Genomic DNA, 21,850 nt, shown 5'->3' with positions numbered 1-21,850 from the left:
CAATAAAAATAGAACAATAACAATACAAATAGAAAACTGTGTGTGAAGCTGGAAGATGCAGAACACGAAAGATCAAATTACCAATTTTTTTTTCTATTTTCTTTAGTTAGCTGCTGATGAAATCAGAAAAGTAATGGACATAAAAATGAAAGTATGCAATGTGTGTGTGTGTGTATGTATATCACATGCACTTGTTTTCATGATGTACATACGGAATTTCATAACCAGCCAAACTAAGCTTCATAAATGAATGAGAAATAAAATCCTTTACAGACAAGCAGATGCTGAGAGATTTAGTCACCATCAGTCCTGCCTTATAAGAGCTCCTAAAGGAAGCACTAAATATGGAAAGGAAAAACCAGTACCAGCCACTGCAAAAACACACCAAAATATAAAAACCAATGAAACTAGGAAGAAACTGCTTCAACTAATGTGCAAAATAACCAGCTAGCATCATGATCACAGGATCAAATTCACACATAATAATATTAACCATAAATATACATGGGCTAAATGCCCCAATTAAAAGACATAGACTGGAAAATTGGATAAAGAGTCAATATCCAGAGGTGTGCTGTATTCAGGAGACCCATCTCACTTGCAAGGACACACATAGGCTCAAAATAAAGGGATGAAGGAATATTTACCAAGCAAATGGAAAGAAAGAAAAAAAAAAGCAGGGGTTTCAATCCTAGTCTCTAATAAAACAGACTTTGAACCAACAAAGATAAAAAAGGACAAAGGGCATTACGTAGTAGTAAAGGGATCAATGCAACAAGAAGAGCTAACTATCCTAAATATATATGCACCAAATACAGGAGCACCAGGATTCATAAAATGAGTTCTTAGAGACCTACAAGGAGACTTAGACTCCCACACAATAATAGTGGGAAACTTTAACAACCCACTATCAATATTAGACAGATCAACAGGACAGGAAATTAACAAGGATATTCAGACTTGAACTCAGCTCTGGTCCAAGCGGACCTAATAGATATCTACAGAACTCTCCACCCCAAATCAACAGAAGATACATTCTTCTCAGCACCACATAGCACTTATTCTAAAATCAACCACATAATTGGAAGTAAAACACTCCTCAGCAAATGCAAAAGAATGAAAATCATAACAAACAATCTCTCAAACCAAAGTGTAATCAAATTAGAACTCAGAATTAAGAAACTCACTCAAAACTGCACAACTACATGGAAACTGAACAACCTGCTTCTGACTGACTACTGGGTAAATAGCAAAATTAAGGCAGAAATAAATAAGTTCTTTGAAACCAATGAGAACAAAGACACAACATACCAGAATATCTGGGACACAGGTAAAACAGTGTTTAGAGGGAAATTTATAGCATTAAATGCCCATATCAGAAAGTGGGAAAGATCTAAAATAGACACCCTAACATCGCAATCAAAAGAAGCAATGGCAAACACATTCAAAACCTAGCATAAGACAAGAAATAACTAAGATCACAGCAGAACTGAATGGGAGAGAAACACGAAAAAACCTTCAAAAAATCAATGAATCTAGGAGTGGGTTTTTTGAAAAGATTAACAAAATAGATAGACCGGTAGCCAGACTAATAAGGAAGAAAAGAGAGAAAAATCAAATAGACACATTAAAAAATGATAAAGGGGATATCACCACTGATGCCACAGAAATACAAACTATTATCAGAGAATACTGTAAACACCTCTACACAAATAAACTAGAAAATCTAGAGGAAATGGATAAATTCCTGGACACATACAGCCTCCCAAGACTAAACCAGGAAGAAGTCAAATCCCTGAATAGACCAATAACAAGTTCTGAAATTGAGTCAGTAATTACTAGCCTACCAACCAAAAAAAGCCCAGGACCAGATGTATTCACAGCCAAGTTCTACGAGAGGTACAAAGAGGAGCTGGTACCATTCCTTCTGAAACTATTCTGAACAATAGAAAAAGAGGGACTCCTCCCTAACTCATTTTATGAGGCCAGCATCATTCTGATTCCAAAACCTGGCAAAGACCCAATAAAAAAAGAAAATTTCAGGCCAATATCACTGACGAACATCGATGCAAAAATCCTGAATAAAATACTGGCAAGCGAATCCAGCAGCACATCAAAAAGCTTATCCACCACGATCAAGTTGGCTTCATGCCTGGCATGCAAGGCTGGTTCAACATACGCAAATCAATAAATGTAATCCATCACATAAACAGAACCAATGACAAAAACTGCATGATTATCTCAATAGATTCAGAAAAGGCCTTCAATAAAATTCAACACCCCTCATACTAAAAACTCTCAATAAACTAGGTATTGATGGAACATATCTCAAAATAATAAGAGCTATTTATGACAAATGCATAGCTAATATCATGCTAAATGGCCAAAAGCTGGAAGCATTCCCTTTGAAAACTGGCACAAGAGAAGGATGACCTCTCTCCCCACTCTTACTCAACATAGTATTGGAAGTTCTGGCCAGGGCAATCAAGCAAGAGAAAGAAATAAAAGGTATGCAAATAGGAAGAGAGGAAATCAAATTGTCTCTGTTTGCAGATGACATGATTGTATATTTACAAAACGCCACCACCTCAGCCCAAAAATTCCTTAACCTGATAAACAACTTTGGCAAAGTCTCAGGATATAAAATTAATGTGCAAAAATCACAATCATTCTTATACACCAATAACAGACCAGACAAGCAGAGAGCCAAATCATTAGTAAACTCCCATTCACAACTGCTATAAAGAAAACAAAATACGTAGGAATACAACCTACGAGGGATGTGAAGGACCTCTTCAAGGACAACTACAAACCAGAGCTCAAGGAAATGACAGGACACAAACATATAGAGAAACATTCCATCCTCATGGATAGGAAGACTCAATATCATGAAAATGGCCATATTGCCCAAAGTAATTTATAGGTTCAATGCTATTCCCATCAAGCTACCATTGACTTTCTTCACAGAACTAGAAAAAAACTATGTTAAATTTCATATGGAAGCAAAAAAGAGCCTGTGGAGCCAAAACTAGCCTAAGCAAAAAGAACAAAGCTGGAGGCATGACGCTGCCTGACTTCAAACTATATTACAAACTACAGTAACCAAAACAGCATGGTGCTAATACCAAAACAGATATATAGACCAATGAAACAGAACAGAGGCCTCAGAAATAACACCACACAGCTACAACCATCTGATCTTCAACAAACCTGACAAAAGCAAGCAATGGGGAAAGGATTCCCTATTTAATAAATGGCGCTGGGAAAACTGGCTAGCCATATGCAGAAAAGAGAAACTGGACCCCTTCGTTACACCTTATAAAAGAATTAACTCAAAGTGGATTAAAAACATAAATGTAAAACCTAAAACTATAAAAACCCTAGAAGAAAACCTAGGCAATACGATTCAGGACACAGGTGTGGGCAAAGACTTCGTGACTAAAACACCAACAGCACTGGAAACAACAGCCAAAATTGACAGATGGAATCTAATTAAACTAAAGAGCTTCTGCTCAGTAAAATAAACTATCACCAGAGTGAACAGGCAAACTACAAAATATGAGAAAATTTTTACAATCTATCCATCTGACAAAGGTCTAATATCCAGAATCTAGAAGGAACTTAAACAAATTTACAAGAAAAAAACAACCCCATCAAAAAGTAGGCAAAGGATATGAACAGACACTTCTCAAAAGAAGACATGTATGTGGCCAATAAACACATGAAAAAAAGCTCATAATCACTGGTCATTAGAGAAATGCAAATCAAAACCACAATGACATACCATCTCACACCAGTTAGAATGGTGATCATTAAAAAGTCTGGAAACAGCAGATGCTGGAGAAGATGCAGAGAAATAGGAACACTTTTACACCACTGGTGGCCTTGTAAAATAGTTCAACCATTGTGGAAGACAATGTGGTGATTCCTCAAGGATATAGAACCAGAAATACCATTTGACCCAGCAATCCCATTACTGGGTATCTACCCAAAGGATTATAAATCATTCTGCTATAAAGACACATGTACACGTATGTTTATTGTGGCACTATTTACAATAGCAAAGACTTGGAACCAACATAATGCCCATCAATGATAGACCGGATGAAGAAAATGTGTCATATATTCACCATGGAATACTATGCAGCCATAAAAAACGATGAGTTCATGTCCTTTGCAGGGACATGGATGAAGCTGGAACCATCATCCTCAGCAAACTAACACAGGAACAGAAAACCAAACACTGTGTGTTCTCACTCATAAGTGGGAGCTGAACAATGAGAACACGTGGACACAGGGAGGGGAACATCACACACTGGGGCCTGTCGGTGGGTGGGGGAAAAGAGGAGGGAGAGCATTAGGACAAATAGCTAATGCGTGTGGAGCTTAAAACCTAGATAACGGGTTGATAGGTGCAGCAAATTACCATGGTACATGTATACCTATGTAATAAACCTGCATGTTCAGCACATGTATCCCAGAACTTACAGTAAAATTTTAAAAAATGAAAGTACGCAATATGTGTATGTGTGTGTGTATATATATATAGAAAACATGCACTCATTTTCATTATGTACATATATGTACATTATGAGTGTGAATATATGTTAAATAATATCCCATCAGTTTTGTATTTGTAACATATATATGTACATGCATATACAACAAATAGAGGTGTTTTGCATAATAATTTCATTTATATTCATCAGCTAAGAACTAAAGAGAATTTAAATCAAAATCAATTATTCATTTACAGGTGTTTTTAACCATTATCTCCCCCTTTATCTTCATTTTTATGCCTCTTTATATTGCCATTTTGTGACTTTTTTTTGCCATAAATTATACATATTTGGAACAGTCGCTTTAAGAAAATCAATCTTTGGGTAAGATCTCTAAGATTGATTTAGTATGAATACGTGTGTAGGCACACACTTGACAAAGAAAGGTCAGTTATAAATATATGTGTACACTTATCAAAAATAATTCACATAAAATCTCTGAATAAAATTATCTGTATGCTTGTTCTGTCAATAAAAGCAATATAGTATAATTCTTGGTAGTAAATCTGTTTATTTTCATTCTGTTGCCTACCATGTGAGCTGCCATGTTGGTATAATACATTGATCATTTGATATTTTACTACAGCAAATAATAGTGATCCCCCCGAAATAATAAATAAATAAATCAGTGAGTTTCAAGGAAATAAATTTTTTGATGGATCAGATAACTTGAAGTTGTTAGTTTGTTCTCCAGCAAGGTGAAAGAAAAAAGCTATTAGTTTGTTCTCTACCAAGGTGAACGAAGATGAAAACTAAAGTTCTCAAGGCCAGTGCATAACAATAATGTGCTGTATTCTGTGCATCAATCACCATTACCAAATATCTTGATACCTATATTGCCAAATATTTCATGTACCGCTTTAGTGGTGATTAATCAATGTGCCATGGCACTGAAACTGAAATGAGACTTTGTAGTACAAGTGATATTCAAAGGGTTTTGAAAATTTATCAGCTCTATAGATAAAGATGAAAAATTATCATCTATATCTATCTAGAAATACTGTTTTTATAAGTGTTACCTATCCAAATATTGGTTTTATTTACTTAATATTTAGAAAACGTGAGTTTAGTAAAAATTGTTCAGATTTTCTTAATGTAGTGTGTGAAATTACTATGTAATTATACAAGAAATATGCTACACAGCTGAATATACAAATAGGCCAGCAGAGGTAGCAAAAGGTGCCTTTCAGTTTTATTATCTCCCCTATAATCTTCAGCAACATCACCCACTCTTCTCTCTACACCATTGATGTATGTTATCTAAATCAAGTCCTATGCAAATGCCACCTCAACATGAGTCCTCTAGCCTTGCCTTCTTATCAGAATGCAGCTCGAAAGCCCCGCTATGTAATTCTAGAGCCACCACTGAAAAATACACACTTGTTGCAAGTATTGAAAAGCCTCATATTGCAAATTCAGAATTCACAGTATTGAAAAAATTAGTAATTTTTTTAAAGTTACAATACTGTGAACTATATAAAATGAATTATGCTGGGATCAGATGACTCTCTTCATTCCAGCCTATCTTATATTTTCTCATTAATTTCTCCATATAGTCACAACTAACAACAACAGACTCACTATTACATTTCATTAACGGCTATTTTATAATAAATGATCTCAATAGCATTTCTGAACCCTCTGCTGTTCTGGTTTTACATAATTCTTGAATTTTTGAATGAGTTAGTCTTTGATTGAAAAAGACCTGACTCTTATGCTTAGAAAAGCCATCATTTCTTTCTGTAAGCTTTCTATCTTCTATAAGCTTTACATGTTCCATAAGCAAACATTCACTGGTTTTGTGATCAAACTAGAGAGGCAAATTCAGTAAATAGTAACAACATCATTTATCATCCTCAAATCTAGTGTTATGGATAATATGATTTCCACAAGGAGACAGTTGGTTGCACAAGCGACAAGAGAAAGACAATCAACAGTCTTATACTCATACCAAGATATGTCCACACACACTTGTTTCCACAGTCAAAGTAATGCCATATGTCCCCAGTGATGTGGGTGGGCAAAAGGAACAGCTGGCCTGCTAATGAGGGCCACATGTACACGCAGCCTATCATACCATCCTTCTTACTTATGGTTGCTGAAAACTCGGTGGAAGTGCTTGCTCTGAGGAATAGCATGGCTGGAGGAGAAGAGGCTTCCTTAACAGCAGGAAAGGACCATTTGTTGTACAACTACTGTATCTCTGAAACTGGGAGCTAAAAATATGCATGTACGTTACTCATTCTCATTAAGAGTTACTTACGCATCCGTAGAGTTCTTTACTCCAATTTCACCTTTCACTAAATTCTTTTGCATTTATGTGCAAAGGGATTTTGGGTCCTTTTCAAAAATTACTTTTCATAATCAATCTTGTTAATTTGATGTTCATTTGCATCAACTTCTCTTTATTTTTAGCTTGATCTCCAGAAAAATTATACTTTCTTCGACATTGTTAAATGTTACAATATTAAAAGAAATGAAAAAGACTTAAAAACTTAGAATATTTGAATGAGGGTTTCTGGAAGGCAGAGAGCAATAAGGCAAAAGTACTTACTGCACTACTGTTTCAAAGTAAAAGAAAAACAAAGATTTTAAAAATGATTATAGCAGCTTTGTATCTCAACCAGGGTTTCCTTTGAAATTTCTACAACTGTAAACACTGTTCAGCAATTTGCACTGATTATAAAATTTATTGTTTTAAGGTCAATTGTGATACTATGGTCAGATAATATAATTTACTTTACTCTTAATGGCTTCATTTTGACAAATGAGGGAGCTTTTAGGAAGGACAATGCTCCCTGCACAATAACCAGTAAAGCATGTCACATCCATTTACAATATAATTTTAAGAAAAATGAAGGAAAAACTACTTGTGAGGCAGCAAGAATTCATTTGCATTAAATTAATTTGAACAGGGCATTTCAAGTTCTCTCTGGCAACAATGGAATAAAGGGGAAAACGAATCTATCTTATGCAATGATCCTCTTCTAGGTTACAGAAAGATTTCAAAGGCTGACATGACCATTAAATTTCTTCTAGAAGTCTATGATTAGTATCATAGATATAACTCATGAGATAAAATATTCACAACGAATGTTTGTGAACTGCATCAATTATTATGGAACTACTGTCTAACATCCCTTTGAAAATTTATATTCTGCAAAGGTTAAAAAAACACCAACCTTTCTGTGCTTTCTTATATGGATGAGATTTTGTAAACAAGAACTAAGCTTCACAAATAAGCAATATGGAAGATAACGTTCTATGTTAATTTAAACCTAAGTAATCCAGGAGTTGGCCTTGATAAATAATGAGTTTAATTAATATTTTTGACCCCAGCAGTGCAAATACTTTTACTTACATTTTACTAGAGCTAGATTTGACAAATCTAAGGGTATTTAATTTATCAGTAGCTGTTATCAGTCAGATGAAAACTTCCCCATCAATACCTTCTAATGGTTCAAAAATAAATTGTTACCCCCACAGATACATTATTTTTCCATGCGTAAGCAAGCACATTAATTTCAGGTTCTCAAGGCACAAAAATATTATTACCACTTATGATAGGCTGCATAATAGTCCCAAAAGATGTTCTTGGCCTAATCTCCAGGCCCTGGGAATGTGCTGCCTTACATAGCCAAAGGGACTTGTAGATATGATTAAGTTAAGGATCTTGAGACAAGGTGATTATCCCACGTCATCCATGTGAGTCCAAAGTAATCACAGGAGTCCTTAGATGAAGTAGAGAGAAGGACTCAAAGTTAAAGGAGGAGACAATGCGGAGAAAGGAACAGAAATAAAAGCAATGCACCTTGAAAATGGAGGAATGGGTAAAAGACAATGAATACAGGTGCCACCAGAAGCAGAAAAAGGCAAGAGAATGGATTCTCCCCTCAGCACCTCCAGAAGGAACCAACACTGCAGACACAGTGACTTAGCCTAATTAAAGTGATTTTGGACTTCTGACCTTTGAAACTGTAAGACAATAAATATGTGTTATTTTAAGTTATTTAAATGTGTGGTAATTTGTTATAGCAGCAGTAATACAACTAATACACCACTACAATAAGCAAAGGAAATAAAGTGCAATAGTGACAAACTTAAGGGATTCCAGAAAAGAGAAATGAAGTGGTAAACTCAATCACAGGATTATATTAGTAACTGTATTATATGTTACTTGCTTACCCTTTCAATCATATTATTGCTGTAATTATCACTATCATCCAATCAATATGATTATACCAGTATGTATAACTTAGAGATGAAATTTTTTTCTATTTCACCCTTCCCATAATTCCACGCAGCTACACGTAAGCAACCGTGTATCTGATGGAGCTAATATTTTCATGGAAAAATCTTCCATGTTAAGCAGAAAATTTACATCTAAAATTAAATTCTTTTAAGCCAGTCTGGGGACAATACCTAGAAAATTCAAACATTACTTCTCAAGAATACCACCAGCAGTGAGTTTGTGATGCTATCTTCCACCAACTGAATCAAAATTAATTTTAAAGATTCTCAAAGCAGTATTTTAAAAAATTGTGTACAAATTTTTCCTCTTGGTAAAAATAAACCACTTCTCAACCCTCCATTATATTTATGTTAATTACATGAAGTCCATACATGAATTGTCATACCACAAATAGAAAACTATTTAAATCAAAAAATCTCACTCAGTGCTGACAGAATGACAGCATAAAACTGTTAAGCATGGGGAGGAGAAAGTTGTTTGTGGTGTAAATATTTCCCTTCTCTCATCAAACTTTGTCCTGTGATCTAGCACTCTTCTCTCCACATGCTTGAGTACAGCAAAAGTTATAAAAATACTCATTCTAGTTTTCTATACTTTAATGATTACAGAACATTAGAAGAGAATTAGGAGATGGGAATGTTTTGTGCAAGACTGACATTGCATTTGAGGGGAAAATAAAAACTTGGACATAATATGTGGGATATCTCCATAGTAATATATGGGAGGACAAGAAAAAAATACTATCAAATTTCTACCATGTGCTGAGGCCCTTGTAAACAAATATCCAGCCTTTTTAATGTACTAACAACCACTCTTCATAGCAGGCATTCTATTCCCAGCTTGTAGATAAGAAACAAGGCTTCGGCAGGGCGCGGTGGCTCACGCCTGTAATCCCAGCACTTTGGGAGGCCGAGACGGGCGGATCACGAGGTCAGGAGATCGAGACCATCCTGGCTAACACGGTGAAACCCCGTCTCTACTAAAAATACAAAAATTAGCCGGGCATGGTGGCGTGCGCCTGTAGTCCCAGCTACACGGGAGGCTGAGGCAGGAGAACGGCGTGAACCCGGGAGGCGGAGCTTGCAGTGAGTCGAGATCGCGCCACTGCACTCCAGCCTGGGCGACAGAGCGAAACTCCGTCTCAAAAAAAAAAAAAAAAAAAAAAAGAAACAAGGCTTCAGAAAGGGATCTTCACCAATTTCATACAGTCAATAAAAGGCAGAACTAGGGCAAATATCAATAATAAAAATAGCAATCTAATCCTAATTGGACCTGGCACTGTTCTAAGAAGCAAATCATTAACAAAGAATTTTGAGTTACATGCTCTTAGTCTCCCCATTTTACACAAGAAGCAACTGAGGTAAAGAGAAGCTATACCATTTGTTTTCAAGCTCATATAGCTAACAAGATACCATTTTAATCATGGGTCTGTAATAGATCGTGTACATCACTTCCAGCATTCACTGAGATTTTTCTTATTAAACCCTAAGCAAGTATTTGATCGCTGAGAAGCTGTAATTTTTTCACTGCTCATTCTTATCACAGTTCTTCAAGAAAAGTACAGTTCAACATATTTGTCCTATTTGGTTGCAAATTTTGAAATTCAAAATATATATCACACTAAGCTGTTAGCTCCATTTAGAATTTTAAAAAACTACATTTTTCACTCAGTAAAAAAAAAATTGCATTGTTTACTCCCATATCTACAATATAGCTTATAAGTGTATATTTGTATTGTAAACATAATTTTCTATAACTTTTATAATATTTAAATATTATTTAAGGTTTTAATAATATTTAAATGTTTAAATAATACATTTAAAAACATAGTTCAACAAGTCCGAATAATCCATCACTTACTTATGACAGAATATTTGTTCAGTATCTTCTGTTTGTTCACTCTTGTGTAATATATCCTATTTTAAGAATCAAAAACTTCTCTTAATGTCAACACTATAGTCTCTTCACAATTCCTACCTATTCTTAATTACCCTTCAGGAGCAAATAAAATGAATTTATACCAAATTTATTTGCTTTGAAACAACTTCAATGAAAATGGTGGTTGTCAACCATATCTACCATTCATATATCTCCATGTTTTTCTGCATTAAATTTCATCTACTACTCCCTTATGCCATCAATGTCACTACAAAGGGGGACAGGGGATGAATCTCGTAATGAACAAAGGTATATACACTAGAACTTAGGATGTTCAATCATCTCCCTAGTATATTATGTCCCATCTGAACTACTCATATTAAAATGAGCAACTACATGAACATGGTACTTTTAAGAAAGGATGTTCAAAAATTAATTCATATCTTGTACAAATTTGTATCCAAGAAAGCATGACCTCATAGGCATGACATATGTGAATGAAAAAATTCACTTTCAGCAATGAATGTTGATGACACTCCTTTAGCAAGAGTTGTCACCAAGCTACCCACAACTCCTCAGCACTCACTATTCTCATACATGTGGTCGGACAATGTCCAAGGGTGCAGTGATTCTGTCCAAAGGCTTTTCTGGGCCATCAGAGCTGTCTCAGCCTGTGTACAGGGTTATACAGAAACTCCAGGGCATTAATGACTCTGATCACTGGAGCAGCCCTGTACTAACTGCAAATTTACGGAGGAAACTTCCAAGTCCTCTTGCCCCTCAGTTGGGGTAACTCTGTTACCTATTTCATGTGGTCTCAGTTCTCCAACAAAAATGATCTCAGCTTCCTCATCTTACTTCCATCTCACTACATGGCATAACTAGAAGTTGACTAGGTATTCTGCTTTAATGTATATGCAAAGCCCTCTTGCTCAGGAATGTCTGTAGAATAATATTTCTAAATTAGGAATACAATTGGTCTTGCTCTTTCCTGAGGGATAAAATGTCATCTCTCTTATCTCCCTCTCTCCTTTCTTCCTAATTCATCTAACCCTCTTTCTGAAAGAATTAGAAAGGAAGAAATATAGGGCATTGTTTAGCATTCTCAAGAGGATTGTTTTCCTTGAAAATGTTGAAATGACAGTGAGTATCACACATACACTGCTTGAAGTATTTTGTAGGATCTGAGGGAAGAGAAAATTTTGACATTCCAGAAAATTTAAGTCATCCTTTTAATGTCAGGACCAGAAAGGAACAGGTCACATGGGCAAGAGCCATAAAACTAATTATCTTGACTCCTTCCAGAATACCTGAGCTATAAATGTTCAGGGAATCCTGTAATCAGATGCAAAGTTGTGTATAACATACTTAGTTCCCCAAGGTAACTATCAATTTTATGTATATAATATGAAAAATTGTTTCAATGCATTTGAGACTCCAAAAAGTTTCATAGCTAGCATTCAATATTCTTGTTTAACTTCTCCTTATACCCCTAAACTGTACTGAGCATGCATAGACACACAAAAGCTCCCTCCCTCCAAAAAACTCACAAACTCTCTTTGAAATTTATTTTTTTAAGAGATTATGTAGGATCAACTATTACCGCTTAAGAAAGAAAAGGAGGAAAAAGGCTGTATTATAGGGATTTTGTTTTCTTCCTCAACTCTTGAAGAAGCCTATTTGTGTCAGCCCGTGTCAGACACCAAAGTACTTATCAATAAAGTTTTATGAATGTGGTCACATATGAAATATAAGAGCATTCCGTTTCTACCTCTCCTTTTCTCATAAGTCCCACATCAGATATACATTAGATATATCTGCCAGTGTTGCCACGGAATCTGAAAGACTATTCACTGCGAAGCTGGCAGTTCAGCCTGAAAGCAGGTTCTGTCTGCATTTCAAGTTCACACTAAGTGGTTTAAAAACACAGCTAAATGTGGCCTGTCTTTATCCTGATTATAAGACACAAATTATCCCAAGAATATTCTTAGTAAAAATTGAGTCTCCCTGTGAATCCACTTTTATTAAGAAGGACACAGGTCAGTTTTTAGGAGTTTAGGAGTTATTTGGAAGTTAGGAGCATCTAAATATGGAAAATAACTCCACAAAATTATAGTATATTTTATATCAAAGAGAAACCAGAAAAATAAGAAATGCTTTTTTTTCATATAGCATGTTCATATATAATTATTTCAGTAGTCTCAATGTAGTTGTGCAATTGTTTGGGTAAAGAACTAAACTTGAAGTTAAATAGCATAGGTCTGAATTCTTATGGTTTATAACATTCATATATTTTATATGTTCCATAATAATATGTAATTTCTAAGTTTATAACATAATAATTACAGAAATCTAGATAAAGTAATACTTCTGTGACACAGTCTCTACATCTACAAAATGGAATATCACTTTTCTCCTTAAATTTATATTAAAAATTGGAGAAGTAATATATGTGAAAGAACCTTACATTAAATATGCAAGTTTTATTTGTTGAACTCAGTCATTAAAGAAAGAACAAAATAAAATATTACATACTTTGATTAACAAAGTAGATACATATATCTTAATCTGAGAAACCTTTAAGCTCTCTTGACCATAAAATGACATTGGATCCTAAAAGAGAATTTGGTAAATATTTGAAAGATATTTCAATTTCACACCTGAATTTTGATTCTGACATTTATTTCCTAAACTTATCGTTTGTATACTTACCTGCTATTAAATCCACAGTGTGTCATGTGACTAACTGTATGCCCACCGATTTTATTGACAGGTATTCAGCAAGGCCCACAAAGTAAGTATTGAATTTTTTTAAAAAAACAGACCCAAAACACCTAAAAGCAAAACAGTTAGTAAATTCTTACAATCATGATGATCACAAATTAGTGCTATTAGTAAGAAAGAAACTTCTAAACCAAATAAAGTCATAATACCTCCAAGGAATTTTGTCTCTCTGATACACACACACACACACACACACACACACACGCACACGATTAAAAAAAATGAAGCAAATGTAAAAATAAATAAGTGAAGGAAGTTCTGTGGGAAATGTCCATAATTTCACGCCCAGAATTTCTCTATCAATCCCTTTCCCCAAAGTTCTTCGAAGAAAATAAAGTTGCCTTTCTCTCAGTGTTAACTCATCACTTTTCTCATAGCATTTTCAAAAGAAATATTTCCTGTCAGTCGGCCACTTAAATTTTGTGCTGTTAAAGAAATCCAAAAAGGTATCAAATTTGCAACAAAGGATAAAGAGGAGATGAAGTGAACCAACATGGCTTTTAAGCTATATTGCCGTCACATCTCACAGGCTGTCTAGAGAGCCTGAAGTTCCCTTTAATAAGCTTATGGAGGGTGCAGAGCAAAGGAACCTGAAGTTACTCTGAGGGTTTTCCCCTGGTAAATTAGGTGGAAAGGAAGAGTCCCAACCCCCACCCCCAAACTTAGAGACCAAGGTTGCCCCGTCACATTCTGTGCCCAGACCTTCTGCTTCCACGCCTTCCCAAACCTTTCCTTGGCTTGGAAAATTGGGCATGAGGCAAGCAAAAGGAAGGACAGAAGGCCAAAAAGGGCATCCGGGAAACCAAATTTCCGTCTTAAAAGCTTGTCTAGAAACACATATATAACGCGTGCCTTTGGGGACATTTCCTAAAACCCCATTCACTTAAGCTAATTCCATCCGAATGCCCCCACGCTGGCCGTGAGGATCGCAACCACCCACCGACCCTCCGCCCCCTCCCAGCCTGTGCAGCCACCGCCAAGACCTTCCGTGAATTTGGGAAATATAAAGGCAGCAGCGCTTGGGGGAGCTGAGCAGCCTCGCCAATGCCACGTCTCTGGTTCGAGACCCCTCGGTTCACCTCTTTGCCGAACTCACCTGGAGTCAGGTTTAGACGGCAGCCTCCACCCAGGGGGACAGGGAAGCAGCCCTGGGAAGCTCCGCAGCGTCCGTGTGAATAACGAGGGCAGCGCAGCGGAACAGCTCCCCCCGGACCTGCTGCTCCCGCTGCTCCCCGGTTTCTCCCACTCTCTGTCTGGGAGCCGTCCTTCCTTTTCTTTCCTCTCCCTCCCCTGCCTGCAGCTACCGCGCTCCCTCCTCCGGGTGGTGGCGCAGCGCTGTCCTTCCGCCTCCCTCCTCCAGCGCGCGAGCTGCCCGTGCTACTAATGAGCAGGCTCGAGGCTCCTCCCGGTCTGGGGTGCGCACAAGCCCCACGCCAGAAACGAGTTCGCAGGAGCAGAGCTGTGGATATGCCTTGTGCGGCCACTGGAGACAGGAACTGGAGGAGGCATCCAGCATCTCACACTTTCTAGCCACTCAGCTTAACTAAGCCATAACCCCAGACTCCTTCCTAAATATCTCCAGTAATTTACAAGTGCTGAAAAGTAAATGAGGGGTTTGAGCACATATCTGTGTTAACAGTATTGTCTGTATAGAGATGCTAATTTGGCTAGATTCTAGGGATGAAATGTTCAAGGAATGGTATATGATTCTGTCTGGTTGTTATTTTGACATATTTTGACCATACTTTCAGGTCTGTAACATAAACCAGCAATCTTCTAATCATGACAACACAGATTGCTAATCGAAGGCAACTGATACTTATTGAATACCAGGCTCTGTTTAATAGTCTCTTTTTTCCCCAGCTAATCTTTACTACAATTCTGTGAGCACTACTAGCATCCCTATTCTATATTTTAAGAATTTGAGACTGACTTTTAAAACAAGACGGTCTTAAAACAAGACTAAGTAACATGTTCCAGCTCGCAGAGATTCTAAGTTTCTGAGCCTGAATAATAACTGAAATCTGTAGCTCTCACAACCCATACCCTGTGTATAATGTGTTGCAGCATCTTGGATGGTACTGTGTAATTGAACCAACAAAGATAATAGGACTATCGGCAAATACACACCACAAGACGAATGAATTCCTAGAATCCTAGTGAGACTTGTAAATAGTCAAGCACCCTAAGTAACAATAGCTCAAGTTCATGCTAAACATGGTGATTACTTATAAAAGAACAGCAACCAGTATGAGTTTAGACAGACAAATAATGTTCAAAATGTTCAGAATCAATGTCCAGCCACATATGAGTTGAATTCCCCACTCTAAAAAAGAGGCCAGATGTGATGTATTCTAAGAAGTCTACAATGGGCATGGTCTTTTTGCAACCAAAGAAGGCCTTGTAAACACTTGTTTCCCATTAAGAATATGCAATAGCTAATTAATATTAAATTTGAAAATCAATGATAATTTATTTCAACTAACCTTACATGAAAAAATCATTACTCATTCAAGCTTTTAGAATTAGATTAAATAGCATTGAGTATCAAATTTACTTCAACCCATAGAAATTATAGACAATTAATAAAGTAAGTAATTTAATTAACTTTACTTTTGTGTCATGATGTATTTTTCCTTAGGAAAAGGATAAGAATTTTTTCCCATGGTATCAACTACTAGAATATGACTTTTATATTTCTCTTCATGAAGATTAATTAATAAAATAAGTACAGATATATTTATTGTCAATAAATCTATCCAGATCATTCATTCTCCACTCAAGAAATTATTCTAGGCAAGCTTTATTTCTCCATATGTACAAGGCAATTCAGAGGTCAAAAATTTTAAAACACTTAAATTAATATCAATCATTAACTAATTAAGAGTAGATTTTATTTATAAACAACTTTAAAAGGCTATGAACAAGGTATAACAAACTTCTACTTTATAAATACTACTACTTCTATTGAACACAAAGTTATATAATTATAGTTTTCTCCCTATTAAAAATATTTATTGATTCTGGCATAATAATGTCATACTCATCCCTCAATAATCAGTGTACATGTAACCAGAAATCTTTTTTATTCACCTCGCCAATGTAAGGATTTCTGTGTTTTGCGTGTTAACACTCTATTTATTCTGTGTTTCTAGTGCTTATCCTCAAAATTTTTATAGTTCTGGTCACTTATGAATTCTACCAATCAGCACTGTATAAATAATGAAAGATATAAAATGTGTTAAATAAATGGATGTAAGGTTTATGCTAAATTTTTCACATACTAAGTACTTCAAAATCCTTATTATTTTTCCTTAAGCTTTTATGTGCATATATTTTATCTCTCCAACTAAAGAACAAGCTTCTAAATAAGAATAGTTTTGTCTATAAATTTTACGCATTTTAACACATTATTAATCTAAAACCTTGGACTAGAGTTTGGAATTCTTTTATGTATTCATTTATTGATTCAAAAAATAGGTTTCCATGCCATTTTTTCTAAACCTTGTGCAAGATGTAGGGTATACAATGATGTCCAAACTTGATAGAGTCCTTGCCCTCATGGAGTTTAAAGTGCAGTAATGTAGAGTAATTTTAAAATCTATTTATTATTATTTAAAACAATAAACGAATACATTCTTGCCGAAAATAAATGAAAAGTCTGTCTGTACTCCTTGGCCAAGGCCAAAACATGAAAGCAAAAGAGCTGCCTGCCTGAAAACACTACAAGCAACTCTCAAGAGGGTTTCTCTGTTGAAACAGTACGTCTCATTATGGAAATAATGAGAAAAATTAGTAACTGTGCAAATGACAGCACACATGCATCTTTGTGGTTTCTGACCTTTTAGCATCATCAAAGCAAGACCACAAACCTTTCAACACCATGCGTGGTATTAATCTTGCACAGAATATAATGTTTTCACATATTTTATTCTGATTTCCTATAAAGTAATTTCAATTTTTAGCTAAAGCTAATGGATTTTTCTAGTGAAAATATTGTGTATTGAATGACTTTCCAGTGAGATCCACGTACCATGCGCCATTTTCATGCTCATGCTCATTTCTCTGAAGTCTGTTTGCCTTTAATTCACCATGATAAAATTCCTTGTGTACTTTTATTGGCAACCATCGCATAGTGACACTTGCATCCAAATGTAATTCAATTTGAGCTTGGCAGTGTTTGCTTTTTTATCAGAAAAGGAAAGTTAGAGGGAACAAGGGGCAAAGACATGTGTAAGAATATCTGAGGGGCCATCACAGCAGCATCACAAATTCAAGATTTGTTTGAAACATTAGGCAAGGGACTGACAGCCATGCCCTGGGATAGCTGAAACACTTTACAACCTGCTCATGTTTATGACCAAAATCATCACCTAAAATGAATTCAATGTGTAAATATCATAATATTGTTTGAGTATAAGTAATCATGAAGCAGCATTAGGGAAAGGAGTATAATCTAGTAAGAAATTGGAACAAAAAAATGTTAGACAAAATTCAAGAAGATTTAAAAGAAGAAAATTATCCTGTCTGTTCTGAACAGAATTGAAAAAGCACATCAATCATAGCTCTATACATTGACCATAGACTTAAAGCATAACATAAAAATAAAGAAGGCAGATAACTCAGGAAAACATTTCTATTGAATCTACTCCGTAAAGTTTTCCCATACTTTTATTTTACTAACAGGAGCATACATTTAAATCTCACAAAATCAAATATATTTTGCTGATTCAATTTGTAGCAGATAGAGGAGCATGTCCCAGTGCTATGACAGTGAGTTGTCACTATAACATACCACTGTTTTACATCTTACCTACAGGCTAAAATGTTTACCCCTAGAGTCGTGACTTTGTATATGGCAGGAGATTGCTACTAAAAGCAAATATACTTGGCTGAAGGGTAGATAACTCTTTAAGCCATTATATCATTCACTAAAATTTAGCAGGCATTTACATATTTACCTACTTAGTTCATATGACAAATATGTTTGAGAGTCTGCCATATACAAAAAAGAAAAAGATGGAACCTTACAAATTTAGAGATTACTTAAAGAAATGGAACTGAAGGGTTAACTGTGATGGCAAAAATGAAGACAGCAAAACCAGAGGGTACTTCAAGGAGAACAGTCATGAGAGAGGCATTATAATTTGGAGGGTGCTATGATTTGAACCTATGTGCCCATCCAAAGTTTGTATGTTGAAACTAAAATCCCAGGATAATGATATTAAGAGATGGGAATTTTGGTTAAGTGATTAAGTGAAGAAGGATCCACTCTCATGAATGAGATAAATGTCCTTATAAAAGACGCTTTAGAGGAGTGCCTGGCTCCTCAGTCTCTTCTGCCATGTCCTTACGTTGTCCATTTTTGCCCACTTTTGTCACGTGAAAACAAAGCAAGAAGGTGCCACCTCAGGAGAAGAGAGCAGTCTGGACCAACCGCCAAATCTCCGCTGCCTTGATTTTGGACTTCTCAGCCCCAGAACTGTGAGAAATACATTTCTGTTTTTTATAAGTTACTCAATCTGTGGCATTTTGTTACAGCAGCAGACAGACGAAAACAGAGGGTAAACAGCCTGGTGAGAGTGGATATTTTAGAAACTTGAGATGATTTAATGTCGCTGATTCTCCATTTTCTCATATGTAAAATGAAGGAAATAAAGCTGATTACTTCATAGTTCGTTGTTCAAATTAAATTAACTAAACTATGTAAATAAAGCAAGCAATATAGTTCCTTTTATCTAGTATATACTGTTTAAGTGTTGTTATTATTACATGAGGAAACCAAGAACTTCCCCAAACAGAAGGATGCGGCAACCAAAACCAAGATATAAGAAAGGACCAAAGTTCACTGTGACAATTTGGTCAAGTGCTGGTTAGGGAAGATAGCATAATGTTACGTATAGATATTATTTTAGGATAATTTTACTCTCCCCGAACTCCTCTAACACTTTCCCTAGGTCTTTCATTGCACTTCTTAGTTTGTCTCTTTAATTACGGTTATTTATATAAATCTTTTAGCTTCCTACAAAAATAAGCTTGTAGTGAGACAGATTCTTAAGGATCTATGTCAAAGCAATTTTTCTATTTCCTGCAGCAAGTAACCCAGTAGTAATCACCCAGAATTTGTTAAAGGAATAAACATAGGAAGATTAATTTCAATTTTTTTCTTTGCTAATTTTTAATCAGAATTATACCATTGTTAGGGAGGGAGAAATTATAAATTGTGAGGACATGAGTATTAATATTTAAATCTGTTATTCTGCTTTATTTTAGAGTTTGCCATGTTTTGTGATTAAAAAAAAGAAACAGGATATTCTATATAGCTGTTACAAAACATGTGGTCTGTTGGTGAACTAGCAGCACCAGCATTACCAAGAGTTTCTTAGTTTGCAGGACTATTGAGTCAGAATTCGTACTTTGACAAAACTCCAGGTGATTCATGCTATGCATTTAAGTTGGAGAAGCACCGTTTTATAGTTCTCCTTATGTCCTAAACGCATTGTCAGTGAAAGAAAATACTATACGTATGATAATAATAATGGTGATATTAACAAAAATGTAACTATTAGTAATTTTATATGCTCTCCCAGATACTAAGTCCTTTATTTAATACTTGTGATAATTCTGCGAAGTTGCAATTGATATCACCTACTAAACTGATACTCAGAAATCTGAAGTAATTCTCCAAGGTCACAAAGCTAGTGAATCACAAACAAGATTTTTAAACTCTTGCTGCTTCATTCCAAAGACTAAACTGTTTCTAACTCACGGTTAATACATTTGCTTCTACCTTCCATTTCCTGAATGTGGTTTCCTTTCTATTTCATTAACTTTATTTATTCATGACTGATTTTTAACCCTCTCTAATATTTTCAGAATACGGTGTACTATAGGTTAATAAGGACAATACCAAGTAATATCATGTTGAGAAAGCGTGCAGAAGTAGCATCAAAAAACAGAGACTTTTTCCAAAATGTTTACTGAAAATGTTCAACAAAAACAAGACTTTCTACTTAGAAATTCTACCCTGCATAACTCAAATGGAACATGATTATTAAAATGACAAAAAAGATTCCATAATTGCCTAAGAGCTAAGAATAAGAATTGCTATATAAAAAAGCATAAATATGTCATGTGAATGACATCTATAAGAATCATGGGAGTGCTATTTGGTATTTAGTATTTAGTTCCATCCTGCAGTATGATCAAAAAGAAGCATCTGTATAATTCACTGCGCATTATAGCACAATAAATCACCTCATTAGGCTCAGATATATGTAAAGATTTACAGTCTGGGAAAGTCCACTAGATATTCTTAATCACTTCTTAGACTGTACTGTCCCCCATATTTCTCTTTTTCTATAGAAAGGTTGCACATGGAAAGGCTTTATTTTAAATCTGGCAACGAATGGAATGTCTGTAAAGCAAGAAATAGATGGAAATTGACATTTTAAAAGTAAGATTGGCTTCTGAAGAGATATAACTGTGAACTTGGTCTTTTGTTGGAGAGAAGTCTTCCCTAGCCTTACTGTACTATTTTTCCCAAAGCACTCTTTGTATTGTTCTCCTTTCATCTCTGGCTCCTATCACATGGCCCCTCCCTCATTCTATCTGGTGACTTCTGAGAAAAATGCTTAAATTCTCCAGAGAAGATTGAAAACAATGCTAAATATTCCTCAGAGAAGCAAAATTTTATGTTAACAGTTTATATTTTCACATGAAATTCTCTATCTCCTCTCTCTCTTTCTGTCTCATATATGTATGTGTGTGTGTGTGTGTATATATATACAATATACAGTAGATATGTAGAGTATAATATACTATATATGTGTATATATAGTATAATATACAGTATATATGTATATATACAGTGTGTGTGTGTGTGTGTGTGTGTGTGTGTGTGTTTACACGCACTACCATTTACCTCCCAGGCTATACATCCTGAAATCTTAAAAGTAGAAAGCCCTCACAGGCCACAGTTGCTCATGCTTGTAATCCCAGCACTTTGGAAGGCCGAGGCTTGTGGATCACCTGAGGTCAGGAGTTCGAGACCAGCCTGACCAACATGGTGAAACCCCATCTCTACTAAAAATACAAAAGATTAGCTGGGCGTTGTGGTGCGTGCCTGTAATCCCAGCTACTCAGGAGGCGGAGGCAGGAGAATCACTTGAACCCGGGAGTCAGTGGTTGTGTGAGCCCTGACCATGACATTGCACTCCAGCCTGGGCAACAAAAGCGAAACTCCATCTCAAAAAAAAAAGGTGGAAAGGTCTTAAAAGACTTTTGAAAATGAGATTTGTCAAATATTTCTTATTAGAGATGAAGAAAATAAGTGTGGACCCACACGTAACCTGTCTGAGGTCACAGAGGTAGGGAC

At 35.7% G+C, this 21,850-nt stretch overlaps 1 protein-coding gene across 9 annotated transcripts in view, besides 2 other annotated features; it reads right to left on the bottom strand.

Moving 5' to 3' along the window:
* The window catches only part of ROBO2 (roundabout guidance receptor 2), a 1,743,290-nt gene extending 1,728,435 nt beyond the window's left edge, over window positions 1-14,855 (bottom strand). For all 9 annotated transcript variants that reach the window (NM_001378191.1, NM_001378195.1, NM_001378196.1 and 6 more), the window contains exon 1: window positions 14,570-14,855. The gene's annotated coding sequence lies outside the window, so the exon portion shown is untranslated. The remainder of the gene's footprint in view (window positions 1-14,569) is intronic.
* Window positions 14,068-14,596: an enhancer, noted in NCBI's record as "H3K27ac-H3K4me1 hESC enhancer chr3:75956085-75956613 (GRCh37/hg19 assembly coordinates)". NCBI's record gives its function as "activates a minimal SCP1, AML or CMV promoter by ChIP-STARR-seq in primed H9 embryonic stem cells {active_cell/tissue: H9 hESC(primed)}" and the evidence as "EXISTENCE:reporter gene assay evidence [ECO:0000049][PMID:30033119]".
* Window positions 14,597-15,127: an enhancer, noted in NCBI's record as "H3K27ac-H3K4me1 hESC enhancer chr3:75955554-75956084 (GRCh37/hg19 assembly coordinates)". NCBI's record gives its function as "activates a minimal SCP1, AML or CMV promoter by ChIP-STARR-seq in primed H9 embryonic stem cells {active_cell/tissue: H9 hESC(primed)}" and the evidence as "EXISTENCE:reporter gene assay evidence [ECO:0000049][PMID:30033119]".

Source organism: Homo sapiens, chromosome 3, assembly GCF_000001405.40.
Source record: "Homo sapiens chromosome 3, GRCh38.p14 Primary Assembly".
NCBI classification, from domain to species: Eukaryota; Metazoa; Chordata; class Mammalia; order Primates; family Hominidae; genus Homo; species Homo sapiens.
This window is presented reverse-complemented; position numbering and strand designations above follow the sequence as displayed.